General features: G+C 37.0%; 1 long non-coding RNA gene across 1 annotated transcript in view; it reads right to left on the bottom strand.

Moving 5' to 3' along the window:
- The window catches only part of TEX41 (testis expressed 41), a 408,763-nt gene that overhangs the window by 166,279 nt on the left and 217,352 nt on the right, over window positions 1-25,132 (bottom strand). The window contains exon 3 of the long non-coding RNA NR_033870.2: window positions 6,648-6,785. This is a non-coding gene — a long non-coding RNA (testis expressed 41). The remainder of the gene's footprint in view (window positions 1-6,647; window positions 6,786-25,132) is intronic.

Here is a 25,132-nt window from a genome sequence, read left to right as displayed (position 1 = left end):
CAAGAACTGAATGGTTCAGCCATATCTATATACTATTTATATAATATCCTGCTAGTATCTCTTATTTCCAGGATATAGGAATAAAATAATTTAGTGTAGTGATGACTATGGTTCCTTTCTCACTTTACATTCCAAATCTTGTATTTGCCTGAGTAAGCATCATAACCAACCATTCAAACATTTATAGAGTGCCAGCAAAACATGGTATTCTATTAAGTAGAAAACAATAATTATTATATCAATACATAATTTTTTTTACTAATAACATCTGCTACTTACAATATGCCAGGCACTTTCATAAGTTTATTATCTCATTTAATCCTACCTACAACCGCACACTGCTAGTATTTCCATTTTAGAGGCTTAGAGAGGTTGACGAACTTGCCCACAGTCCCAAAGCTAGTAAGAGACAAGGTCAGGAGTTAAGTCTATTTTCATCTGCTTTAATACAGATGTTCTTAACCACAGTATGTACTGCTATTAAGGGATCCAAAGATATACAATGCGCAAAACCTGCTACCAAAATGCTCACAATTTGAGCAGATTAAGCAAATTATCCTTAAAAGATAACTCAGGCAATGGCTGGAATTTGAGTGTCTAATTACTGTTCCAAAGTAAAAATTGAGAAAGTCGCTTGAGATTTAAATATTCTGATTTCCTCTGAGTCAAAATTTAGCCAATATTTTCAACCAATCATGGTGGTTCTGATCATCTTTAGACAAGAGAAACGCCATACTGGCTACTGTGCTAAATGGCACTTAGTAAGCCAAATAGATTGGTTACTTTGATGAACCATGTATATGCAATCAAGAAAGTTGTCCATAAATATTTCTAAAGAACATTCTTTATCCATTTATCTGTTGATGTACACAGGTTGATTTTATAATGTGGCTATTGTGAAAACTGCTGCAATAAATATGGGGGTGCAGATAGCTCTCTGACAAACAAATTTCAAGATTTTTGGGTACATCCCCAGAAGTGAGATTTCCGGATCATATGGTAGTTCTATTTTTAGTTTTTTGAGAAGCCTTCATAGTATTCTGCATATGGCTGCACTAATTTACATTCCTACCAATAGTGTACAATGGCTTCCTTTTCTCCACATCTTGCCAACACTTGTCACCTTTTGTCTTTTTGATAAAAGCCATTCTGACAGATACAGTATATGCACACAATGGAATACTATTCAGCCTTTAAAAAGAAAGAAATTCTGTCATTTGCGACAACATAGATGGAACTGGAGAACATTATGCTAAAATAAGTCAGGCACAGAAAGACAAATATTGCATATTCTGTCTTATCTGCGGAAATGAGAACAATCAAACTCATAGGAGCAGAGAGTAGAATGACGGTTACAAAGACTGGAAAGTGGGGGAATGAAGAGATAATGGTCCAAAGTTACAAAATCTTAGGAGTAATATGGGTTTTAGTTTTATTACACAGTATGATGAATACAGTCAATAATAGAGGATTATACATTTCAAAATTGGAAAGAGCAAATTTCAAATGTTTCCCCCTCAAAAAAGTTAAGTATTTGAAGTGATAGATAACGTTAATGAGCTTTATGTAATTATTTCGTATTATGTACACAAATTATAACATCACTTTTTACCCCATAACTTTATACAATTATAACTTGTCTATCTATAACAAAAAATAAATAACTTTTGGGTATTTAAAAAAAATGCTACCTTCTTTTCTTTTCTTTTTTTTTTTTTTTTTTTTTTTTTTTTGAGACGGAGTCGTTCTGTCGCCGAGGCTGGAATGCGATGGTGCGATCTTGACTCACTGCTACCTCCGCCTTCCAGATTCAAGTGATTCTCCTGCCTCAACCTCCAGAATAGCTGGGATTACAGGCGCCCAACACCATGCCCAGCTAATTTTTGTATTTTTAGTAGAGACAGGGTTTCATCATGTTGGCCAGGCTGGTCTCCTGACCTCAGGTGATCCGCCCACCTCGGCCTCCGAAAGTGCTGGAATTACAGGCATGAGCCACCACGCCAGGCCAATGCTACCTTATTTTCTTGGCTTTCAGGTAGCTTTTTAAGAAGTATCTTACTTGATCTAGAACACTTTTTTCCCAAATGCCTGCAAGTAAAAACTGCATATGGGCTAATATAATTTTTAATTTCCTCTGCTGTTCTGGATCAAATGGTATTATATTTTCAGAATTTCATTTCAAGATAATCCTAACTTGTGATTATGGTGTTTCTACACTATAAATTTCCTAAGAAAAACATCATAATTGTAATTCTTTTCCTACTAAGAAACATCACAGTTCATACTTGGGAATCACTTAGATGAGAAGAAACTCCTAGAAATTATGCAGAACTGAAGTTAAAGTTGTCGTTCAAACAAGAGAAAACCAGACATTTTAACTGGGAATTAGAACAAGAATTGTTCTTTGAAAAAAAGTGACTTTAAATTATGTAAATAAAAATTAATTTAAGAGCAGATTCTTTTAATGAGACTACAAAACAAGAAATTCAAAGTTAATGTAGACATTAGATATTACTTCAGGAAGAAAATAAAGAATGAATGATCTGAGACAAAGGAATGTCAGATGTATATCGAATTTTAAAACAGTGTCATCTCGGCCGGGCATGGTGGCTGATGCCTGTAATCCCAGCACTTTGGGAGGCTGAGGCAGGCAGATCACAAAGTCAGGAGATTGAGACCATCCTGACCAACACGGTGAAACCTTGTCTCTACTAAAAATACAAAAATTAGCCAGGCATGGTGGCAGGCTCCCAGCTACTCTGGAGGCTGAGGCAGGAGAATGGCGTGAACCCGGGAGGCGGAGCTTGCAGTGAGCTGAGATGGTGCCACTGTACTCCAGACTGGGAGACAGTGCAAGACTCCGTCTCCAAACAAACAAACAAACAAACAAAAAACAGTGTCATCTCATTCAATCTTTTCCTAAGTTAATTACATGATGGAATTTAAGTTTAGGTGACAGACATAAGTGAATTTACATGTTTGTACCTTTCCCCTTTATTACATAAGTAAATATGGCTTTCAACTGAAGGAAACAAAGGTATTAGAATGTAATATTGGAGGATGCAATCATTTAAATGAGAAACCTTAGTGGTTTATATTAAGTTCCCAACATGTTGGTTTGATAGATAATTACATGATTAGGAAGGGTTTTTTTTTTGTTTTTTGTTTTTTTGTTTTTTTGTTTTTTGTTTTTTAATCCTCCCTTATGTAGCCAAGAAACCAGAATGCCTTCTTTGGAGGTTAGGATACAAATTACCTAATAAGTCATACACTTTGTGTAATAAAATCACATATATAAAACCTATGGAGTACATAAGTGGTTATCCTGAATATTCCTGCTTTATTTTTCATAAAAGGATAAATAGTAACATTCGGGGTGTGGTTTTATCAAATTTTACTTTTTATTATTAATTTTAATCTAATTTAATTTAAGAATATATTTTAATATGAAAGACATGTAATAGGAGTGGCGTGTTTGTGTAATAAGAATGTTTGCATGGGTATGAAGAATGGAGGAAAAAACTATTTGCTTCATGTTAACATGAAAACTTTATTTCCTTACTAACATGACATTATTACAGAATTAAGTAATTTATAAAGGTAAAATTTTTATTGCAATATGCTTCTGAAAAACAGTTTAGTCATTTTACGCAGTCTCACACCCCAGCCTTATCATCATATCATCTCCATTTATTTCCTATTCCAAATATGTATAAAATAGATTTAAATTTTAACTTTCAGACAGTCATATCCACATTGTTCTTGGTGAGGCACTTTGTGCCCACAGTTCTATCATAAACTTATCAACTGTACCAGAAATGATAACCATTCAGTTACTAATTCCATAAGTACATGTACACCCTCTGTATACCATGCTTAGGTTCTGAAGATATAGCAGTATATGGAACAGATACAAATCCTGCCATCCTGCAACCCAATTTCTGATTGGCAATTATTTCCTCTGCGTTGGTCAAATAAGCAAGCCAAAAATTCTCACTTCCAGTTAGTAGAACAGTGTCATCATGAAGTGGATTTTAAGCTTTTCAAGGTCATTTAAAGGGCTTCTCTTCATTCTGAAATGTATGAGAAATGTATAAGAAAGAACTTGCTTTCTTCAAGTGACTTAAAGACAGTAGATCCCTGTCTACTGGAGGAGTGGAGTGAGTGGCAGAAGGAGATCAACGGTCTTCTGAATGAAAAACCCTGACTCTAGTTACTAAAGGCTTAGGGCTAAAGAAATTTGGCAGTGAGAACAAGGTGGCCAGGACCAAAGTTTACAGACAGAAAGTGACATCAGTAAACAAGAGTGATGTCACCAGGAACAATGTAGAAGTTTGGGTCAACTGGATTTGAATCTCTGTGAGAAGACCACCAGTATTGTGGGAAGAACTGATTCTGACAGAGTGTGTAGAGCAAACAAAGCTCTTCACGTTCCAGCTCCCATAATATGGAGTTTTGCCTTGGGGAGCAATGGCTGTATACACACATGTGAAGTAAGATAGCTATAGCTCTGAATCCCAGCATTCAGCCCCTCTGTGAGCTGTGCAGGGCTCGGACAAACAGGGGGCTCAAGAAATAGCAGGGAAAAGCCTTAGAATTTCCAGCTCTCTGAACAACAAACTCTGGAAAGCAGGACACCTACCTACACTACGTTCATATTAGCCAAGCTTCTGGAGTCTCAGAACAATTCTAGAGTAAGGAGGAGACTTCTCCCTGTAGTAGACTTCCTGCTAATAAGCAAATGTGCGGGTGGAGTGATGCGCTGAAATAAGGAAATTATTGCCAGCTTTGTACTCTGAGATATTAAAGAAGGACATTCAGTTTGCATTAAACGAATATCTAGTTAGTATTTTGTCATTTGTTTAACAATTTTTATATTTGCCCTTTATGTTCAGGATGAGATTTTTTTTAAAAGATGCTAGAACTCTGAATTTACAAAGATTTATCGTATACATTTGATAAACCAATTCTAAATAGAAGAAGGTTTATAACAAGTCTTCTCCCTGACCCTATAAATCTAAGCCAAGACAGCAAGGAATCCATGTGCTGCCTCCAGGCTCTACACAACTTTGTGCTGTATTTTAAAACTACTCCCAACTGTGCTATCCTCAGAGGTGATAAAGAAGAACTGTTTATTACCGAACTTTCCTCAACCTCCATATTCTTATTCCCCTGGCTCCATATACTTGAAGACTGTGATTGCATCTTAACTGAAATAAATCTTATATGGAATATTGTAGTTCTCCAAGGTAGCTAAAACACAACCACTCCACATTAGTACAATTCTTTGATAGAGTGGACAAAATCTCTTTTGCATCTGAGAACCTCTAAATATCAGGCAGCTAAGAGACCCAAGCTTCCTGACCCTACGAGATCAGGCCCCTACTTACCTGCATCCCACTTCACCCCATTTCCCTACACGTCCTTGACTTTGACACCTTGGTGTTCTTTCAGACACTTATGTATATCATGCCGCTTTATGCACAAGCACTTTCTCTACTCTGTTATCTCTGTTGGAAACTTCTGCCTTCACCTTTTTATTAGTGAAATCATCTTTCAGCTCTCAACACAGATGTCATTTCTTAGAGACAGATCAAGTCCCCTGTTACAAGTTCTTATGGTGGGAGAGCCTCCTGTGGCAGCTCCTAATGTGTGTTGTGATTATGTGTTAATGTCTATCCCCTCCTCCAAGGTTGTAAGTTACAGAAGAGCTGCCAGCATACTTGTTTTCTTGTTCGTCATTCCACATCCATGCCTAGTGCATGGTAGACATTTAAGTAATACTTACTCAACGTCTAAATGAATGAAAGGGTGAAGATCTCAATAACCTGTAATAATTATGTCAAATATAACAAAATCTAATGTAAAATGAATAAGTGCAAATTCCAACATTTATATCCATAAAACCAACTACCCATGTGCAGAATGGGGAGCATGAAGCTTAAGGGCAGCTCATATAAAAGTGTACTTCAGAATTTTAGTTAATTACAATTTCCAGGTGAGTCAACAGCATGACTGCCTCAAGACAGAAACACTTGAGTATAGTGCCCCAAATCACTGCAATGCCTTCCCCTTTATACTTCAAATTGATCCAACTATATCAAGAAAACTGTGGGATACTACTTTTACAGGAATGCCAATACATTGGAGAATACTCAGAGAACAGATATTAGAATGAGGGGAATTGGTAAACTGTTACAATCACTGAAAACAGCTATATTGTATTCATTCCTTCACACATTCAATCCATTTATTGAGTATGACTGAGTGTATTATACCTGGCACAAACGTGGACACTTGGGAATATCAGCAAATAAAATAGACAATGATACCTGTCTCATGTACCTTACATTCTTTAAAGAATAACAGATAATATTATAATAAATAAGTAAACCATGTAGAACATTAGAAGGTAATAATAAATAATAAATATGGAAAAAAATGTTGAACAATCAAAAGAGGATCTGGGGTGCCGGGAAGAGGGTGAGGTGATTAGTTGCAGGGTTAATACTGTGATGAGGTTGACCTTATTGAAGGGATCAAAGAATGGAAGGGAATAAGGGAATCAATCAACTGGATATCAGGAGAAGAATGTTCTAGGCAGAGAAAACACTAAAGCAAATACACTACCACAGGATAGAGATTACCTGGCATATTGGTGGGGCAACAGGGACCAGTGTTGCTGAGGCAGAGTGAGTCCAGAAGGAGAGCACAGGAGAAGCTGAGTTGCAGGAGGTAGATCTCGGAAGGCCTTGCAGGCCATTACAAAAATGTTGGTGTTGTCTCTAAAATGAGTAAGTAGATGAGGCTGCATTAAAATCGGTATGATCCAAAGAGTAGAAAATTGGCCAAGATGGCCGAATAGGAACAGCTCCGGTCTACAGCTCCCAGCGTGAGCGACGCAGAAGACGGTGATTTCTGCATTTCCATCTGAGGTACCGGGTTCATCTCACTAGGGAGTGCCAGACAGTGGGCGCAGGTCAGTGGGTGCGCGCACCGTGCACGAGCCGAAGCAGGGCGAGGCATTGCCTCACTTGGGAAGCGCAAGGGGTCAGGGAGTTCCCTTTCCGAGTCAAAGAAAGGGGTGACGGATGGCACCTGGAAAATCGGACCACTCCCAACCGAATACTGCGCTTTTCCGACGAGCTTAAAAAACGGCACCACGAGATTATATCCCACACCTGGCTCAGAGGGTCCTACGCCCACGGAGTCTCACTAATTGCTAGCACAGCAGTCTGTGATCAAACTGCAAGGCTGCAGCGAGGCTGGGGGAGGGGCGCCCGCCATTGCCCAGGCTTGCTTAGGTAAACAAAGCAGCCGGGAAGCTCGAACTGGGTGGAGCCCACCTCAGCTCAAGGAGGCCTGCCTGCCTCTGTAGGCTCCACCTCTGGGGGCAGGGCACAGACAAAAAAAAGACAGCAGTAACCTCTGCAGACTTAAATGTCCCTGTCTGACAGCTTTGAAGAGAGCAGTGGTTCTCTCAGCACACAGCTGGAGATCTGAGAACCAGCAGACTGCCTCCTCAAGTGGGTCCCTGACCCCTGACCCCCGAGCAGCCTAACTGGGAGGCACCCCCCAGCAGGGGCAGACTGACAACTCACAGGGCCCAGTACTACAACAGACCTGCAGCTGAGGGTCCTGTCTGTTAGAAGGAAAACTAACAAACAGAAAGGACATCCACACATAAAACCCATCTGTACATCACCATCATCAAAGACCAAAAGTAGATAAAACCACAAAGATGGGGAAAAAACAGAACAGAAAAACTGAAAACTCTAAAAAGCAGAGCACCTCTCCTCCTCCAAAGGAACGCAGTTCCTCACCAGCAACGGAACAAAGCTGGATGGAGAATGACTTTGACGAGCTGAGAGAAGGCTTCAGACGATCAAATTACTCTGAGCTACGGGAGGACATTCAAACCAAAGGCAAAGAAGTTGAAAACTTTGAAAAAATTTTAGAAGAATGTATAACTAGAATAACCAATACAGAGAAGTGCTTAAAGGAGCTGACGGAGCTGAAAACCAAAGCTCAAGAACTACGTGAAGAATGCAGAAGCCTCAGGAGCCGATGCGATCAACTGGAAGAAAGGGTATCAGCAATGGAAGATGAAATGAATGAAATGAAGCGAGAAGGGAAGTTTAGAGAAAAAAGAATAAAAAGAAATGAGCTACACCTCCAAGAAATATGGGACTATGTGAAAAGACCAAATCTACGTCTGATTGGTGTACCTGAAAGTGATGGGGAGAATGGAACCAAGTTGGAAAACACTCTGCAGAATATTATCCAGGAGAACTTCCCCAATCTAGCAAGGCAGGCCAACGTTCAGATTCAGTAAATATAGAGAACGCCACAAAGATACTCCTCGAGAAGAGCAACTCCAAGACACATAATTGTCAGATTCACCAAAGTTGAAATGAAGGAAAAAATGTTAAGGGCAGCCAGAGAGAAAGGTCGGGTTACCCTCAAAGGGAAGCCCATCAGACTAACAGCGGATCTCTCGGCAGAAACCCCACAAGCCAGAAGAGAGTGGGGGCCAATATTCAACATTCTTAAGACAAGAATTTTCAACCCAGAATTTCATATCCAGCCAAACTAAGCTTCATAAGCGAAGGAGAAATAAAATACTTTACAGACAAGCATATGCTGAGAGATTTTGTCACCACCAGGCCTGCCCTAAAAGAGCTCCTGAAGGAAGCACTAAACATGGAAAGGAACAACCGGTACCAGCCGCTGCAAAATCATGCCAAAATGTAAAGACCATCAAGACTAGTAAGAAACTGCATCAACTAACGAGCAAAATAACCAGCTAACATCATAATGACAGGATCAAATTCACACATAACAATATTAAATGTAAATGGACTAAATGCTCCAATTAAAAGACACAGACTGGCAAATTGGATAAAGAGTCAAGACCCATCAGTGTGCTGTATTCAGGAAACCCATCTCACGTGCAGAGACACACATAGGCTCAAAATAAAAGGATGGAGGAAGATCTACCAAGCAAATGGAAAATAAAAAAAGGCAGGGGTTGCAATACTAGTCTCTGATAAAACAGACTTTAAACCAACAAAGATCAAAAGAGACAAAGAAGGCCATTACATAATGGTAAAGGGATCAGTTCAACAAGAAGAGCTAACTAACCTAAATATATATGCACCCAATACAGGAGCATCAAGATTCATAAAGCAAGTCCTGAGTGACCTGCAAAGAGACTTAGACTCCCACACATTAATAATGAGAGACTTTAACACCCCACTGTCAACATTAGACAGATCAACGAGACAGAAAGTTAACAAGGATACCCAGGAATTGAACTCAGCTCTGCACCAAGCAGACCTAATAGACATCTACAGAACTCTCCACCCCAAATCAACAGAATATACATTTTTTTTTAGCACCAAACCTATTCCAAAATCGACCACATATTTGGAAGTAAAGCTCTCCTCAGCAAATGTAAAAGAACAGAAATTATAACAAACTATCTCTCAGACCACAGTGCAATCAAACTAGAACTCAGGATTAAGAATCTCACTCAAAACCGCTCAACCAAATGGAAACTGAACAACCTGCTCCTGAATGACTACTGGGTACATAACGAAATGAAGGCAGAAATAAAGATGTTCTTTGAAACCAATGAGAACAAAGACACAACATACCAGAATCTCTGGGACGCATTCAAAGCAGTGTAGAGGGAAATTTATAGCACTAAATGCCCACAAGAGAAAGCAGGAAAGATACAAAATTGACACCCTAACATCACAATTAAAAGAACTAGAAAGGCAAGAGCAAACACATTCAAAAGCTAGCAGAAGGCAAGAAATAACTAAAATCAGAGCAGAACTGAAGGAAATAGAGACACAAAAAACCCTTCAAAAAATTAATGAATCCAGGAGCTGGTTTTTTGAAAGGATCAACAAAATTGATAGACTGCTAGCAAGACTAATAAAGAAAAAAAGAGAGAAGAATCTAATAGACGCAATAAAAACTGATAAAGGGGATATCTCCACCGATCCCACAGAAATACAAATTACCATCAGAGAATAAATACTACAAACACCTCTATGCAAATAAACTAGAAAATCTAGAAGAAATGGATAAATTCCTCGACACATACACTCTCCCAAGACTAAACCAGGAAGAAGTTGAATCTCTGAATAGACCAATAACAGGAGCTGAAATTGTGGCAATACTCAATAGCTTACCAACCAAAAAGAGTCCAGGACCAGATGGATTCACAGCTGAATTCTACCAGAGGTACAAGGAGGAACTGGTACCATTCCTTCTGAAACTATTCCGGTCAATAGAAAAAGAGGGAATCCTCCCTAACTCATTTTATGAGGCCAGCATCATTCTGATACCAAAGCTAGGCAGAGACACAACAAAAAAAGAGAATTTTAGACCAATATCCTTGATGAACATTGATGCAAAAATCCTCAATAAAATACTGGCAAAACGAATCCAGCAGCACATCAAAAAGCTTATCCACCATGATCAAGTGGGCTTCATCCCTGGGATGCAAGGCTGGTTCAATAATACGCAAATCAATAAATGTAATCCAGCATATAAACAGAGCCAAAGACAAAAACCACATGATTATCTCAATAGATGCAGAAAAAGCCTTTGACAAAATTCAACAACCCTTCATGCTAAAAACTCTCAATAAATTAGGTATTGATGGGACATATTTCAAAATAATAAGGGCTATCTATGACAAACCCACAGCCAATATCATACTAAACGGGCAAAAACTGGAAGCATTCCCTTTGAAAACTGGCACAAGACAGGGATGCCCTCTCTCACCACTCCTATTCAACATAGTGTTGGAAGTTCTGGCCAGGGCAATTAGGCAGGAGAAGGAAATAAAGGGTATTCAATTAGGAAAAGAGGAAGTCAAATTGTCCCTGTTTGCAGACGACATGATTGTATATCTAGAAAACCCCACTGTCTCAGCCCAAAATCTCCTTAAGCTGATAAGCAACTTCAGCAAAGTCTCAGGATACAAAATCAATGTACAAAAATCACAAGCATTCTTATACACCAACAACAGACAAACAGAGAGCCAAATCATGAGTGAACTCCCATTCACAATTGCTTCAAAAAGAATAAAATACCTAGGAATCCAACTTACAAGGGATGTGAAGGACCTCTTCAAGGAGAACTACAAACCACTGCTCAAGGAAATAAAAGAGGATACAAACAAATGGAAGAACATTCCATGCTCATGGGTAGGAAGAATCAATATCGTGAAAATGGCCATACTGCCCAAGGTAATTTACAGATTCAATGCCATCCCCATCAAGCTACCAATGACTTTCTTCACAGAATTGGAAAAAACTACTTTAAAGTTCATATGGAACCAAAAAAGAGCCTGCATCGCCAAGTCAATCCGAAGCCAAAAGAACAAAGCTGGAGGCATCACACTACCTGACTTCAAACTATACTACAAGGCTACAGTAACCAAAACAGCATGGTACTGGTACCAAAACAGAGATAATAGATCAATGGAACAGAACAGAGCCCTCAGAAATAACGCCGCATATCTACAACTATCTGATCTTTGACAAACCTGAGAAAAACAAGCAATGGGGAAAGGATTCCCTAATTAATAAATAGTGCTGGGAAAACTGGCTAGCCATATGTAGAAAGCTGAAACTGGATCCCTTCCTTACACCTTATACAAAAATCAATTCAAGATGGATTAAAGACTTAAACGTTAGACCTAAAACCATAAAAACCCTAGAAGAAAACCTAGGCATTACCATTCAGGACACAGGCATGGGCAAGGACTTCATGTCTAAAACACCAAAAGCAATGGCAACAAAAGACAAAATTGACAAATGGGATCTCATTAAACTAAAGAGCTTCTGCACAGCAAAAGAAACTACCATCAGAGTGAACAGGCAACCTACAAAATGGGAGAAAATTTTCACAACCTACTCATCTGACGGCTAATATCCAGAATCTACAATGAACTCAAACAAATTTACAAGACAAAAACAAACAACCCCATCAAAAAGTGGGCGAAGGACATGAACAGACACTTCTCAAAAGAAGACATTTATGCAGCCAAAAAACACATGAATAAATGCTCATCATCACTGGCCATCAGAGAAATGCAAATCAAAACCACAATGAGATACCATCTCACACCAGTTAGAATGGCAATCATTAAAAAGTCAGGAAACAACAGGTGCTGGAGAGGATGTGGAGAAATAGGAACACTTTTACACTGTTGGTGGGACTGTAAACTAGTTCGACCATTGTGGAAGTCAGTGTGGCGATTCCTCAGGGATCTAGAACTAGAAATACCATTTGACCCAGCCATCCCATTACTGGGTATATACCCAAAGGACTATAAACCATGCTGCTATAAAGACACATGCACACGTATGTTTATTGAGGCATTATTCACAATAGCAAAGACTTGGAACCAACCCAAATGTCCAACAATGATAGACTGGATTAAGAAAATGTGGCTCATATACACCATGGAATACTATGCAGCCATAAAAATGATGAGTTCATGTCCTTTGTAGGGACATGGATGAAATTGGAAAACATCATTCTCAGTAAACTATTGCAAGAACAAAAAAACAAACACCGCATATCCTCACTCATATGTGGGAATTGAACAATGAGATCACATGGACACAGGACGGGGAATATCACACTCTGGGGACTGTTGTGGGGTGGGGGGAGGGGGGAGGGACAGCATTGGGAGATATACCTAATGCTAGATGACGAGTTAGTGGGTGCAGTGCACCAGCATGGCACATGTATACATATGCAACTAACCTGCACAATGTGCACATGTACCCTAAATCTTAAAGTATAATAAAAAAAAAAGAAGAAGCTGCTCATTTGACGCAGAAAAAAAAAAAAGAATATTTTAAGAGGCAAAATTTGACTCTATATTAATAATATTACCAGGGATTAACATCAACTGAAATATAGAATGGGCCACCTGATCCTAATTTATAACTATGAAAGGTACCTTGAATATACATCCATAAGCCATGTCCAATTTCTTTATAGAAAAAGAGAGGCAGAAAATAAAAAATGCAAATGAAATGAGATTTCAAGATTTCATAAGTCCTTTTCATTTTATTATATTCTAATACAGAATTCTAATGATGAGCCTCATGTCCTGTCAAAACCTAGAGAAACAGTTTCCAAATAACAAAATTGTAGTTATAGTTCATATTTATGATACATAATGTTTTAATTTATTAAAAATACACAATTATATTATATTAAGTATAACATATAAACTATAGACTACATATTCAAAACTATAAAGTAAATGAATACAAAACATAGTATTTTAAATGTTATATCACAGACATTGTGAATGTATGTCATTCAAAACTGAGCATGATTTTGCTTTTGACAGTTTTTAACCCTCCATCAACATTTCCTGTTCAATAGTGAAAGCAGTAAGATTTCCAGGGCATATATTCATTCCTCATTGAGGGAATTTTTAAATGTAAACATTTTTAGATTTATCTACTGAAAAGTTTAAAAATTATTTTTAAGAGCCACACAATTACCATCCATTTTTCTAGTTGAAAATACGAAGGAGAATTCGAGCTGACAAAAATGCAACCTCAATACTATTTTGACTTTTTAAAATAAAACTATTCCCTATGTTTAAGGAGCCTATCTATCCTGCAAATTCTTTATAAGGGGGAAAAAACATGGTAACATACACACACACACATACACACACACAAACACACACATCTAAAAATGTTTTTGTTACCCTGCAAAAGTCACAAAACAGCAAACCTAAATGATTAGACTAACTCACCCAGCTCACTAGTCAATTTAGAAAAAGAAGGAGGTCTTCAGAGTGAAGTAAGTGGACAGATTGAAGAACGAGGAGGGGGGTAATGTTTTCTGGAAGTAGCTCTTAGAAATCCTGTTCACAGCCTGGAACTGCATAAATTTTCTCTGCATATGTTATTGCTACCTTGGGGGCCATGATAGCATATGCATTTTGGGTTTTTCAAAAAATAGATATATGTGCATGAATATGTGTGTTTAATGCATAAATATTATGATGATTTTCCTTTCATGGGACTCTGTAGTCCCTTCAGACTTTATTACAGCATATACAGTAAATAAACAGTAATCTATTGAGAATGCATATATTTTTTTGAGAAAACACAAAATAGAATTGAAGGGAGCTGAATATTATTGCCTAATGTAGAATATTTCAAAATGTAAAATTATTAAGCCAAATACACTCAGGAAGACAATCGGACATTTGGTGGCAACATTGAATCCAGCAGAAGAATCAACATGAGTATATAAACTGGAACACAGAGTCTTGAAAAAGCAAGAAAATCACACTTATGCATTCGTGTAACAGCTAAAATTTAAAAGTCAAAAAAGCAAACATATTGCTAAGATGCATTATGTAATACGATTAGAAGAAAATCTACCTCTAGTCAAGTGATTTCAATAAGCCAGCACATGCAGTGTTTTGAATACCTGTAAGTTATAATTGTGAAAAGAATATTATTTGATGATATATTCAGTCCCTGATGTACTTTGTTTTTCAGAAAAGATATACGTTCAGTGTATTTAGTCTTACTGTTCTTTGTATACATGACAGAACAGCATGATAAAAGTGAATGATTGCAATATATTTTGTTTCCCAGTAAGTTCCCTCAAACACAGACTGACAAATCTAATACGAATCCCCAGAAATTCAGTTACTTCTAAGCTTCAGTACTCTGGAATACATAAAATAAATATATGATCAATGAAATGAAATATGACAAAATGTTTCATATTGATGTTTTCTTCTTCCAAAAATGCCTTTTTGGTTAATGCCCTAAGTCACTTTTTCCACACGTTTTCTTTTTTTCAATGTATAGATTTCCTAGTTCTGATTTCAAGTTCACGGAGCCTGGGGAGAAGTGGGAGATTTCTTCAAACCAGGGCCGTTCCTCAGCCTTTCACATGAGAAAATTGTTAGGAGCATTAAAGTATTCCTGACTATGCTGCATTCCTTTGTTCAGAGTGAGTTTTGGGAACACATCCTTTTCTCATTATATTTCCATAAAATATATTTGATCTATTCTATTCTTAGAATACCTCTGATGTGGTCTGTGAGTGGAGCACAGTATAAAAATATTTCTTTTTTATATGAGACAAAATGTTTCCATTTCTTAGACACATTTAAAAAAAATCATTGTATAGCACTCTAAGAAAGTAAAACTTGTCCGATGCATTTTCGCAGGGCTCGAAACAGACCACAAAGGCCCCCATCCTCCAGCATTGTAGTTCAGAGCCTCACCCAAGGCAGGGAGTCCTCTGCAAAACAAAAGGTGATCAGGAAGAGAGAGGGCGAGCCAGAAGAACTGGGGAGGGTCCTGGACTAAGGAAGCAAGTTTATATTTAGAAGAAACCAGAGAAGTTAACCCTCTTCCTATGAGACTAAATGAGTTCTACTAAATTTTATATTCAAAACTAAAACATAGTCAAAAATTGTAATAGTCTAATGTGAATAGTTAATGTTTCCAACTGGTAGTGAATAGTTGAAATGTTTGCTTGGCTAATTCAATTTAGAAACCACTGGAAGCCAAACCAGTCTTTCTTGCAACTTTCTACCACATACCCACCCCTGGGACATAGCACCAGGCCACACATTCACAACCTGGCCTGCTCAAGGTTGTTGATCATTCTAATAGCAAGCGATTTCTTTTGGAGAGCATGTTTTCTAGCATATTTGTCTTTGGCCTTCCCTTCTGAGAGAATGACTACCTAAATCTAATTTGTCAGAGACCAGTTGAAACTAAAAATTAATCTGAAGGATTGCTACTCACAAACTCATTTTAAAACTAAAAACAGAAGAAAGCTACTATTAATTCTCTTTGATTACTCATGTGATTGCATATCTATAATTTTGATAGCAAATGTAAGTTGAGGGCAAGGATTTGGTTTATCTTACCACAATATCCACTATGTCTAATACACAGTAGTTGCTCAATAAAATTTTGCCAAAAATATCGATAAAGGAATACATTGGGAAACTGGGCCTCATTCCCTATTCCCCTGTTTGCTGAAAGGGAAATAATTGGCCCTGTTAAACTGAGAACCTACTGATAATCCAAGAAGACCTATCTTTGCCAGATGAGATAGTTGCCATATATTTGGGAAACAATTGCTTCTTGCAACAGATACTATCATAGTTACAGATGTGTCTAAATTTTTTTTATATGAGGCAAGTGCAATGTTTCAAAAATTCTAGAGATTTCTGTACCAGATTGAAATACAGGATCCTGCTATAGTTTTAAGTTTCTATACAACTCCCACAGTGTCATAGATTTAACACTGCCAGTTATTAGCTCTATTAATACTGGACCAAAATAAGCAGACATATGTACAGTCAGTATGCAGATACATATTGCATATATATCTGCAATAATTAGATATGCAAAATCATGAAATAAAACAACAGGGCTTGTGGGAAAAAAATGGTGTTGGGATGCAACACTCAAAAACTTTGTCAGTGACTCATTAAAAAAAGCTAGATACCTAATAAAAATCATAGCATAGTTTTACATAACGATAAATGGTTAAGAATTGCATAAATGCTACAGAACGTGTCACCTTACCTTGAAAAAGACCTGAAGTGTGCTTGTGGAAGTGAGCCTCAGCAAGATAAAAGCTCGTAAGTTAATGTACAGGGGTGGATGGAGGGCTACATGAAATTATACAGCAAGCTGTAATACCAGATGTGGATAGGTGTGGCTCATAACACATACCGTGAACAGGGTAGCTGGTAGATGTTTGAAGTATGTGCACGTGTGCATTTTGTATATTCCTAAGTAGTGCAGTTCTACTGAGTGCAGTTTTGTATGTTCATCTTGCATTTCTCCAGACACAATTGTACATAAACAAGTGCAAAATTTATGTTATGCAAATTGCTCCCTGATAGTCACATTGGAACAAATTCATATTTTCAATGTGAGCATCACAGCAAGGCTGTCTCTATCATCTTCCAACACAATGAAATAGAAATACAATATAAATCTCAGGCTGATCAATACAGAATCATCCTGGTACAGTTTGCATGATTCTTACACCCTTAAAAAAATCTGTTTTATCTAAATTTAAATTTCTTAAGAGCAACGACTATTCAGTAGCATACCTGGAAGCCCTTTCTCCAACCGCATTTAATATAATAGCATTCAACACATGTTGTTTGGTGAAAATGCCAGAGGAGCCATTGCAATATACCACTCTGATAATATAGTCTTTGACTGCTAAGGTAGCAGAGAGTAAAGTGTAGAACAGTATAAAACAAAGACATTGTAAGGCCATTGTGGCTTTAAATGGAGTTTGACCCTGGATACTAAAAACTGATATGCACACATATGCGTCTAATAAATTATACCACAGCCATGCATCTAGTAAAAAATAGGTGATTCCCATGGTCCTACATGATATTGAAATTTGCTAAATCTTAATTTTGAGATTCTGTTGAAAGTTGATTAACGTAGCTCAATATTGTGGCTTCTCTGCTCGCTGTAAGTTTAATGGAATCACTGTTCAAAACTGTACCCAGTATACTGTTTTGAAACCTGCTCTTCCTTCTATGTTGCTTACTTTTTGTTAATTATGTCATTCTCCACTGTTATTCTAAATATAGAAAGCATTCACTTGCTCCTCACCCTGACCAGGCCAACAAAGAGATAGGTGCTATCTAATTGAGACAAAATCAATTTTACCTACCCACATACAAAAGAAATGTCAGTTAGGGACACTATTTAGAGATCTGAAATTAAAAAACAATAACAATAGAAAGTACTTTTGAAATCAATTTATATAAGCATTATTTAAATAGATTATTAAGCCTACAAGTGTAGACAAGATTCAAATGTGATCACAGAAGGTGAGTAAAATTGCTGATTTTTTTGTTTTCTTATATTAAAAGAGTTTTTTTCCAGTTATATGTGACATTCAGTCTTTGAGGATTAGAGAAAAGACTGTACACATCTTTGTGCCACCAAGGACCTAGCAAATTCTCTTTGGTAGATGTCAAAGGAATGGGTTTTGCTAACAGAATTGAATAGAAACTCATAGAATAAATGAATATATATTTCCCTATTTTTCTGTTTTTTATGAAAAGAGAGGATCTGATGTCAGTACTTCGACATGGTAGAATTTCTTTACCCAGCACCAGTTATTTTCACCTCACCACTCACCACTGTGTATTAATTACTCTTGCAATTTCTGCCATATCTGCATAGCATCTGCCTTGTAATTTAGCTAATATTTTTCTTTAACTTTTGGTTCTTGAACAAATATATCTTTAAGGTAAATGTTATGTCACTACGAAAATGGAAAACCTTATAAAAGAAGTGACTGTGGCCAGGAACAGGGGCTCATGCCTATAATCCCAGAACTTTGGGAGGCCAAGGTGGGCGGATCACCTGAGGTCAGGAGTTTGAGACCAGTCGGGCCAGCATGGAGAAAACCTGTCTTTACTAAAAATACAAAAATTAGCTGGGTGTGGTGGCATGTGCCTGTAGTCCCAGCTACTCAGGAGGCTGAGACAGGAGAATCACTTGATCCTGGGAGGTGAAGCTTGCAGTGAGCCGAGATCACGCCACTGCACTCCAGCCTGGGCGACAGAGAGAGATTCTGTCTCCACAACAACAACAACAAAAAGTAACTGTAAAATTTATCTCAGTGAAAATCAAACACTTATTGAATTCTGTCTGGTGCCTAAGGAAGGCTCAGAGCCTGAGTCCTGTTCTCTCATTCTTTTTTTTTTTTTTTTTAAAGGAATGGTTAGAAGGCAGCTAAATATCCACAGTTATAGACATGCTAACACCAAATAGAGAATTCTTCCTTTCATTAATCGGAAAGAGTGAAAGACAACTGAAGAGACATTAACTTTCTGCCCAAGTGATACATTATCATTTAAAGTAATATTTATATCACAAAATCACCTCATATTCAATGTTGGTACACATGCAAAATTTGGGAGAACATTGGTAAAGTGGAAAAATATACTACTCTAGGCAGCAGATATTGATTCTGGAAAAGATTTTGTCAACCTCATTTGCAACCACAGTCAAGTGCTGCAATTTCTCTGTGCCTTAAATAACTATTTGACAATGGGGAATGTGGATTTTGTATCAAACAGGGTGATCTAAGTTAGGCTGTGGTTACAATCACCAAATCTTACTGACTGTATTTGTGTTTGCTGACTGTATTTGTAGTTTAAACCAAAAATTTTATTTCTCCTTCCCTCTAGATGTTCTATGCAGGTCAGCTGGGATCATGTTCCTGCTTTGTCATCATCCTCACTCCAAGATTCAAGATAACAGAGCTACCACTGCCTGGAATATCACTGGTCACAATGACACAGGAAAACCACCCACTGCTTCTTAAAGCTTTTGCCTGGTAATAACACACGATCATGTTTAATTGGCTAAAGCATGTCATATGTCCACACCTGGCTTCAAGTCAGTATAGAAGTGCAATTCTGCTATAAGCCCAGAAGGTGGGAGTACCAAAATATTTGTGAGTTATAGTAACTTCCATCAACTTAATATTCTCTAAAATCCTTTTAATTTATTAAATTCTATGATTATAACAAAATAGTACTTTACATTTAATGTATGAGTTTTTTTTAATTTGTCAGGTTATTTACTTTGGAAAATTTTATTATATGAAAAAGCTATTACACAAGTGTATCATATTCTTCAAAGATTCATTATTAAACACACTAAAAATTTTAGGAGATTAGAACTTGATATAAATATAAACTATCCAATCAGGATGGTTAAAAGTAGAAAAAGAATTTCTTGGTTTTGTCTTTGAGTGTTACTTAAATAACACAAAAATATGTGACCTAAATAATTTCAATGGTAATAGGAATTGCACAGAATAAAAGAAAATAAATGTTTAGAAACTTGCAAATGTTAGGAAAGTTTTATAATCATTAAATTGCAAAGGTCTGATGTTAGTGGAAAAACTTAGTTTGATCTCTGTTAGTGTGCCCTAGTTCTAAATGCACAGGCTCTCATGGCATCCACGGACTTGCCATGCCTGGTTAGATTTGTCTTCTTCAGCTACCACTCAGTTACTAACAGAACCAGGCTCAGCACCTCCTCCCCTGCATGGCTTGGCCATCACATGTAAAAGTGATCTGGCTTATTTAAACAGAATATTTTTTACTGTTCCCTTTGTTATTACATATCGTAGCAAAGAGCTTTGAGCATTTTACCACTGTCTACATATCAAAATAGGTCATAGAACCTTCACAGGAACATCAAATCAGAAGATCAATAACATCACCATAGCTTGTACCAAACATTTTGAAGTGTGACCATTCTGCCTTTTAGTCTGCTGCCAATATATTCTGTCTTCCATTAGTCTCTTGCGTTCTTTGAGTAGTGATCTCTCTCCAACTTGACTAAAAACTTCTTTGGTGCAAAGCCAAGCTGATGCTTCTTTAGGGTCAACCATAATACCTAATACAATGTTGAGCACATAGTAAGTCTCCTGAAACTTTTGTTGTTGTGGTCGACACCTATTTAGAACAGAAGGAGGATAGACGGCTTTTATTTATTCATTTAAAAAGACAGTTTTGAGTAGCCACAATATAGCGTGGACTGTATGTATAAAACAGAAACAAACTACAAAACCCAGGGCAGTGGTCCTCAATGAGGGTCAATTTCACCTCCCAGGGGACATTTAGCAAAGTCTAAACACAGTTTTATTTGTCATAGTTGGCGGGCGGGGGGCAAGGTGCTGCTGGTATCTACTGGGTAGAGGCAAAGAATGATGCTAAACATCTTATAACGCACAGGACAGCCTCCACCACAAATAATTATCCAGTCTCAAACATCGATCATGCCTGGACTGAGAGACCCTGCCCTACACAGTAGTGCGTGAGTCAGAGAGTGAAGAGTAATTTTAATACAAATTTCTTAATAGTGGTTTTTCTTTCCCACTGTTTTGAAAGGCAACAGTTTCACTATTTGTATCTAACTAAACAATATGACTTTAGATGTAGACATAGGACAAAAACTACATAAGGGGGTTGTTGGAAGACTTTTGTTGTTGAGCATACTTTTGTGGATGAAGGTATAAATAGTTGTTTCCATTATTTTCTTAGAGTAGAATTAACAACTTCCTCATTAAAAGAAATAAAGAATATAATAGTAGGTGAGATTAAGTTTAGAAAAGCTATATTTATACCGCCATGGCATTTCTGAAACCCCAATAACTACCATGGCTACTTCACAGCTTGAGATCAGTTAAGACCGGCTAAGACCAAAATTCTCTTTGCTCAAGGGTCTTGAGTAGAAAAATAATATCCAATAACTTTGTACATAGTAAATTTATAATATATTTCAAATAAATAAAAAATACCCAGTTCATGTATAAGAATTTTTAACCAGATAAGGATGAATCATAATAAAGCAGAATTATTGAAAGTTTGCATCCTAGCCTTCTTGCCAGTATTCCAAGGTCTAGTTTGAAAATGCCGTGCTCAGTAGTTTAATACAAGCTAGCATTTGTTTGATGGTAAAATCTCCTTTATTAGAGGGCTAGTGTTTGGGAAACCTCCCATGAACAACCTAATTGTAGGTAACCCATGGAGAGAGTGCTAAAAGTCAACACTCCACTTATGAAAAGTACTGCAAAACTTTAGTAAAACATTCATTCTTTGTGCCTATCAGAGATTCAAAGAAGTATAGTAATAAGTTTCAAGGATATCTATTGCATCCTCTTTGCCATGTGGGAGTTGGTAAGTCTAAAAAATCTATTTATCTTTGTGTATTGGTATCTGTCTGTCTCTCTCTCTCTCTCTCTCTCTCTTCCCTCCCCCCCACCTTGTGTCTCGGAGAATATAGGTGGAGGTCACATCCTTCTCTCTGTATCTCATTTTCTGCATTACCTAGTAGAACTAGCAAAGTTCTCATCTTTGTCTTTATATTTGTTAATCTCTTTGTGTTTTACTCTGAGTATTTTCTTGTTGTTCTTTAGCTGTCTCTTTCACTCAATTGGCCATTCTGAATAACTAAACAGGTATTTTTCTGGCTTTAGTAATTGAATTATTTTACATTTCATGTTAAATGTTCATGCATTCAATTAATTACTTAAAATACAAATACTGAATACTTACTGTATTCCTGGATCATGTTAGGTACTAAGAATATGACAATTAACAAAACATATGCTGCCCCTACCCCACATGCCTTACAGTTTTTGGAGAAAATAGACAGGTAACCTGCCAATGATAATAGAATGTGATAAATGCTTTGATCACAGAAGAGTTCTGTGAGAATAAAAAGAAGAGACATGTAAGTTAGTCCTAAAAGAGTTGGTTCTTGAGGAAACACTCCTGGAGGTTTTGATATCTAGGCTTGAATGTGAAGAGCGAGGGGCTATCAACTTACTGGGATATGGAAGAATGATTATTCAAAGAAATAGCATCCAAAAAGCAACACACTCAGATGTGTGTTTTCAAAATACCACTCTTTTTCATAAAGTACTTCAATGAGGGCTGGATTAGAAGCAAGGAGACCAACCAGAAGACAATAGCAGTTGTACCTTCAAGAGGTGATGTTGGCCACAACAGAGGAGAAACAGAAGAAATCGAAAGAGATTAACAGAATTATTGTTAGTTAGGAATGAGGCCAGGAGAACTGAGGCTGCTGCCAAGGTATCCACCTCGGACATGGTGTTACCATTCCTTGAGCTGGGAAGCACAGAAGAAGGAGCAGGCTGAGGAACCAGAGCTGGAGAAAGAATAGGATGAGCTCAGTTCTACCCATGCTTTACCTGTGTTGCCTGCTGGGCACCCACAGGGAGGGGCCCAGAGGGAAGTTGGCTATATGGGTCTGAAACACAAGAGAGAAGCAATTACAGTAGATTAATTTCAGAGATAATATTTTCCTCAATGGGATGAATACATTGTACATATATGAAGCTAATTCTTTCAAATATGAACCCAGGAGTAAAGAGTCTCTAGTTCAGTCTTTGATATGTATAATCAAAGGCTTTGCATGTCTTTTCCCCTTATCACTGTACACTAGCATTCCTTATTACTGCCTTTGCCAGAAGGTTGAATATTATTAATGTAATATTAAAATAATATTACTAATCTTATACATTTATATAGCTCATCATAGTTTACTTAAAATTCTTTTTCATACAGCTCTGGACAAAGTCTTCAGTCTGTGAGCTGGCTTTAGAGAAGCAGCCTAGGGCCAGGAAACCAGGATCGAACCGCAGACCAGAAGTTCTAATGAGTTTGCTGCAAGTATTTATTCTGGGGTCACAGCCAGTGTTCAGAACCAGAAGTCACAGAGTTAACCAAGCCAAGGCCCAAGATCTAAGCCAAGAGTTGGAGCCAAGGCCATGGGCAAAGCCAAGAATCAGTCACAGGATTAGCACATCAGAACAAGCCCCAGAACTGCTGCTGAACCCGAGGTCCTCCCCCAGGCCCTGCATCCTTCAGAGGCATTCTCTGCCCATGGGCTTGCACTCCCAGAGGAACACAGTCTACAAGGTAGGAATGGGAAACCTGAGGATTTCCTCTGCCTTTATAGGACCTTTGCTTTGGAAAACACAACAAGAATCCCATTGAAAGCATATTAACTCCCAAGTGATGACTTAAAACAAATAAAACTGTATGTACTATTTATGCATTTATTAAAATTCCTACATGTATAGAAATAATTGTCACATTCAATTAAAATCAATGAGAAAATCTAATAACTTCAAATTCAATTAGATTTCTCTCAAAGAATCTTAAAAATAAAAAATCCTGAATTCTATCTTGAATGCTTTCCTATAATATCTTACAATGTCTTCCTTCATTTACCCTCTTCCGAGAAACTTTGATAATAATGTGTAGATTTTTTTCTTTTTATCTTTCATGTAGCCAAAAGAGCCTAAGAACAACCTAGGTAAGAAAGGAAACCTTTACTAAAGCTATAGTCTCAGAAATAAATGTAGCAAAAGTAGATTTATCTCTTTAAATATAATTTTAAATAGAGCACACATCATTAACATGGCTCAACAATTTTAAAAGTATATTTCAAAAGCAAACAGTGAAACTTTCATTCCTAGGTCAGTCCCACTTCAGTTTAGTACCATACCCACAACCCATGAATGTAATTATTGTCATCAATTTCTTGCCATTCCTTCAGAATTTTATAATGAGCATATAAGCACACACAGAAATATGTTCTCGTTTCTCCCCTTTTTAAGCAAAATGTAGCACACTGCTCTGAACCCTGTATTTTCCCATCTAACTATGTGCAGAGATTTCTCCTGTCTTTTAGAGTTGAATAGTATTCCATTGCATATGTGTACTTATTTAACCAGTCATTTAACATAGACACTTAGGTTGTTTTGAGTCTTTTACTGTTACAAATAATGTGGCAATGAATAACCTGGTAATATTCCATTTTGCACATATGCAGTATATATGTAGGAAAAATTGCCAGAAGTTAAATTGATGAAGTAGAATGTACTGCATTTATAATTTTAATGGATATATCTAAATGGCTTTCATAGTGTCATACTAATTTCTACTTCCCCACAGCCTAAGAATTTTATTTAACTTCTTGACTTTTCACAATCTTTAAGTAAAAAACTATGGTATTATGATATAGTTCAATTAATGTTTCTCTAACTAAGGGTATTACTGTGCCTGTTTTCATGTATTTAAGAGCCAAAGGTATGTTATCTTTTTAAAACTTTTGTCTATATATTTTTTTAATTATCGGTCTTTTTAAATTATTGATTTCTAGAAGATTTTTATTACATTAGAACTTTTTATAAAGTATGAGTTGTGAGGAATTTTCCCAGATTTTGGTTTATCTTTTGACTTTTATATAGTTTTTGGCCATACACAATTTTTTCTTAGCTTTTCATGAGTCAAATTTATTAATATGGTTTTGGCTTTTAAAAGATCAATAAAATAAAAACATATGAGCACCTCAATATGATGAAAAAATATCTCTCTCATTCCCAGATCTAGCATCATACTTATTTGGAATACACTGGATGTAAGAAAAAAGAAGAATGTCCAATGCCAACACTATTGTTAACATTATATAAAAGGTACTAACCAAGAGAA

This window comes from Homo sapiens, chromosome 2, assembly GCF_000001405.40.
Source record: "Homo sapiens chromosome 2, GRCh38.p14 Primary Assembly".
Lineage (NCBI taxonomy): Eukaryota > Metazoa > Chordata > Mammalia > Primates > Hominidae > Homo > Homo sapiens.
This window is presented reverse-complemented; position numbering and strand designations above follow the sequence as displayed.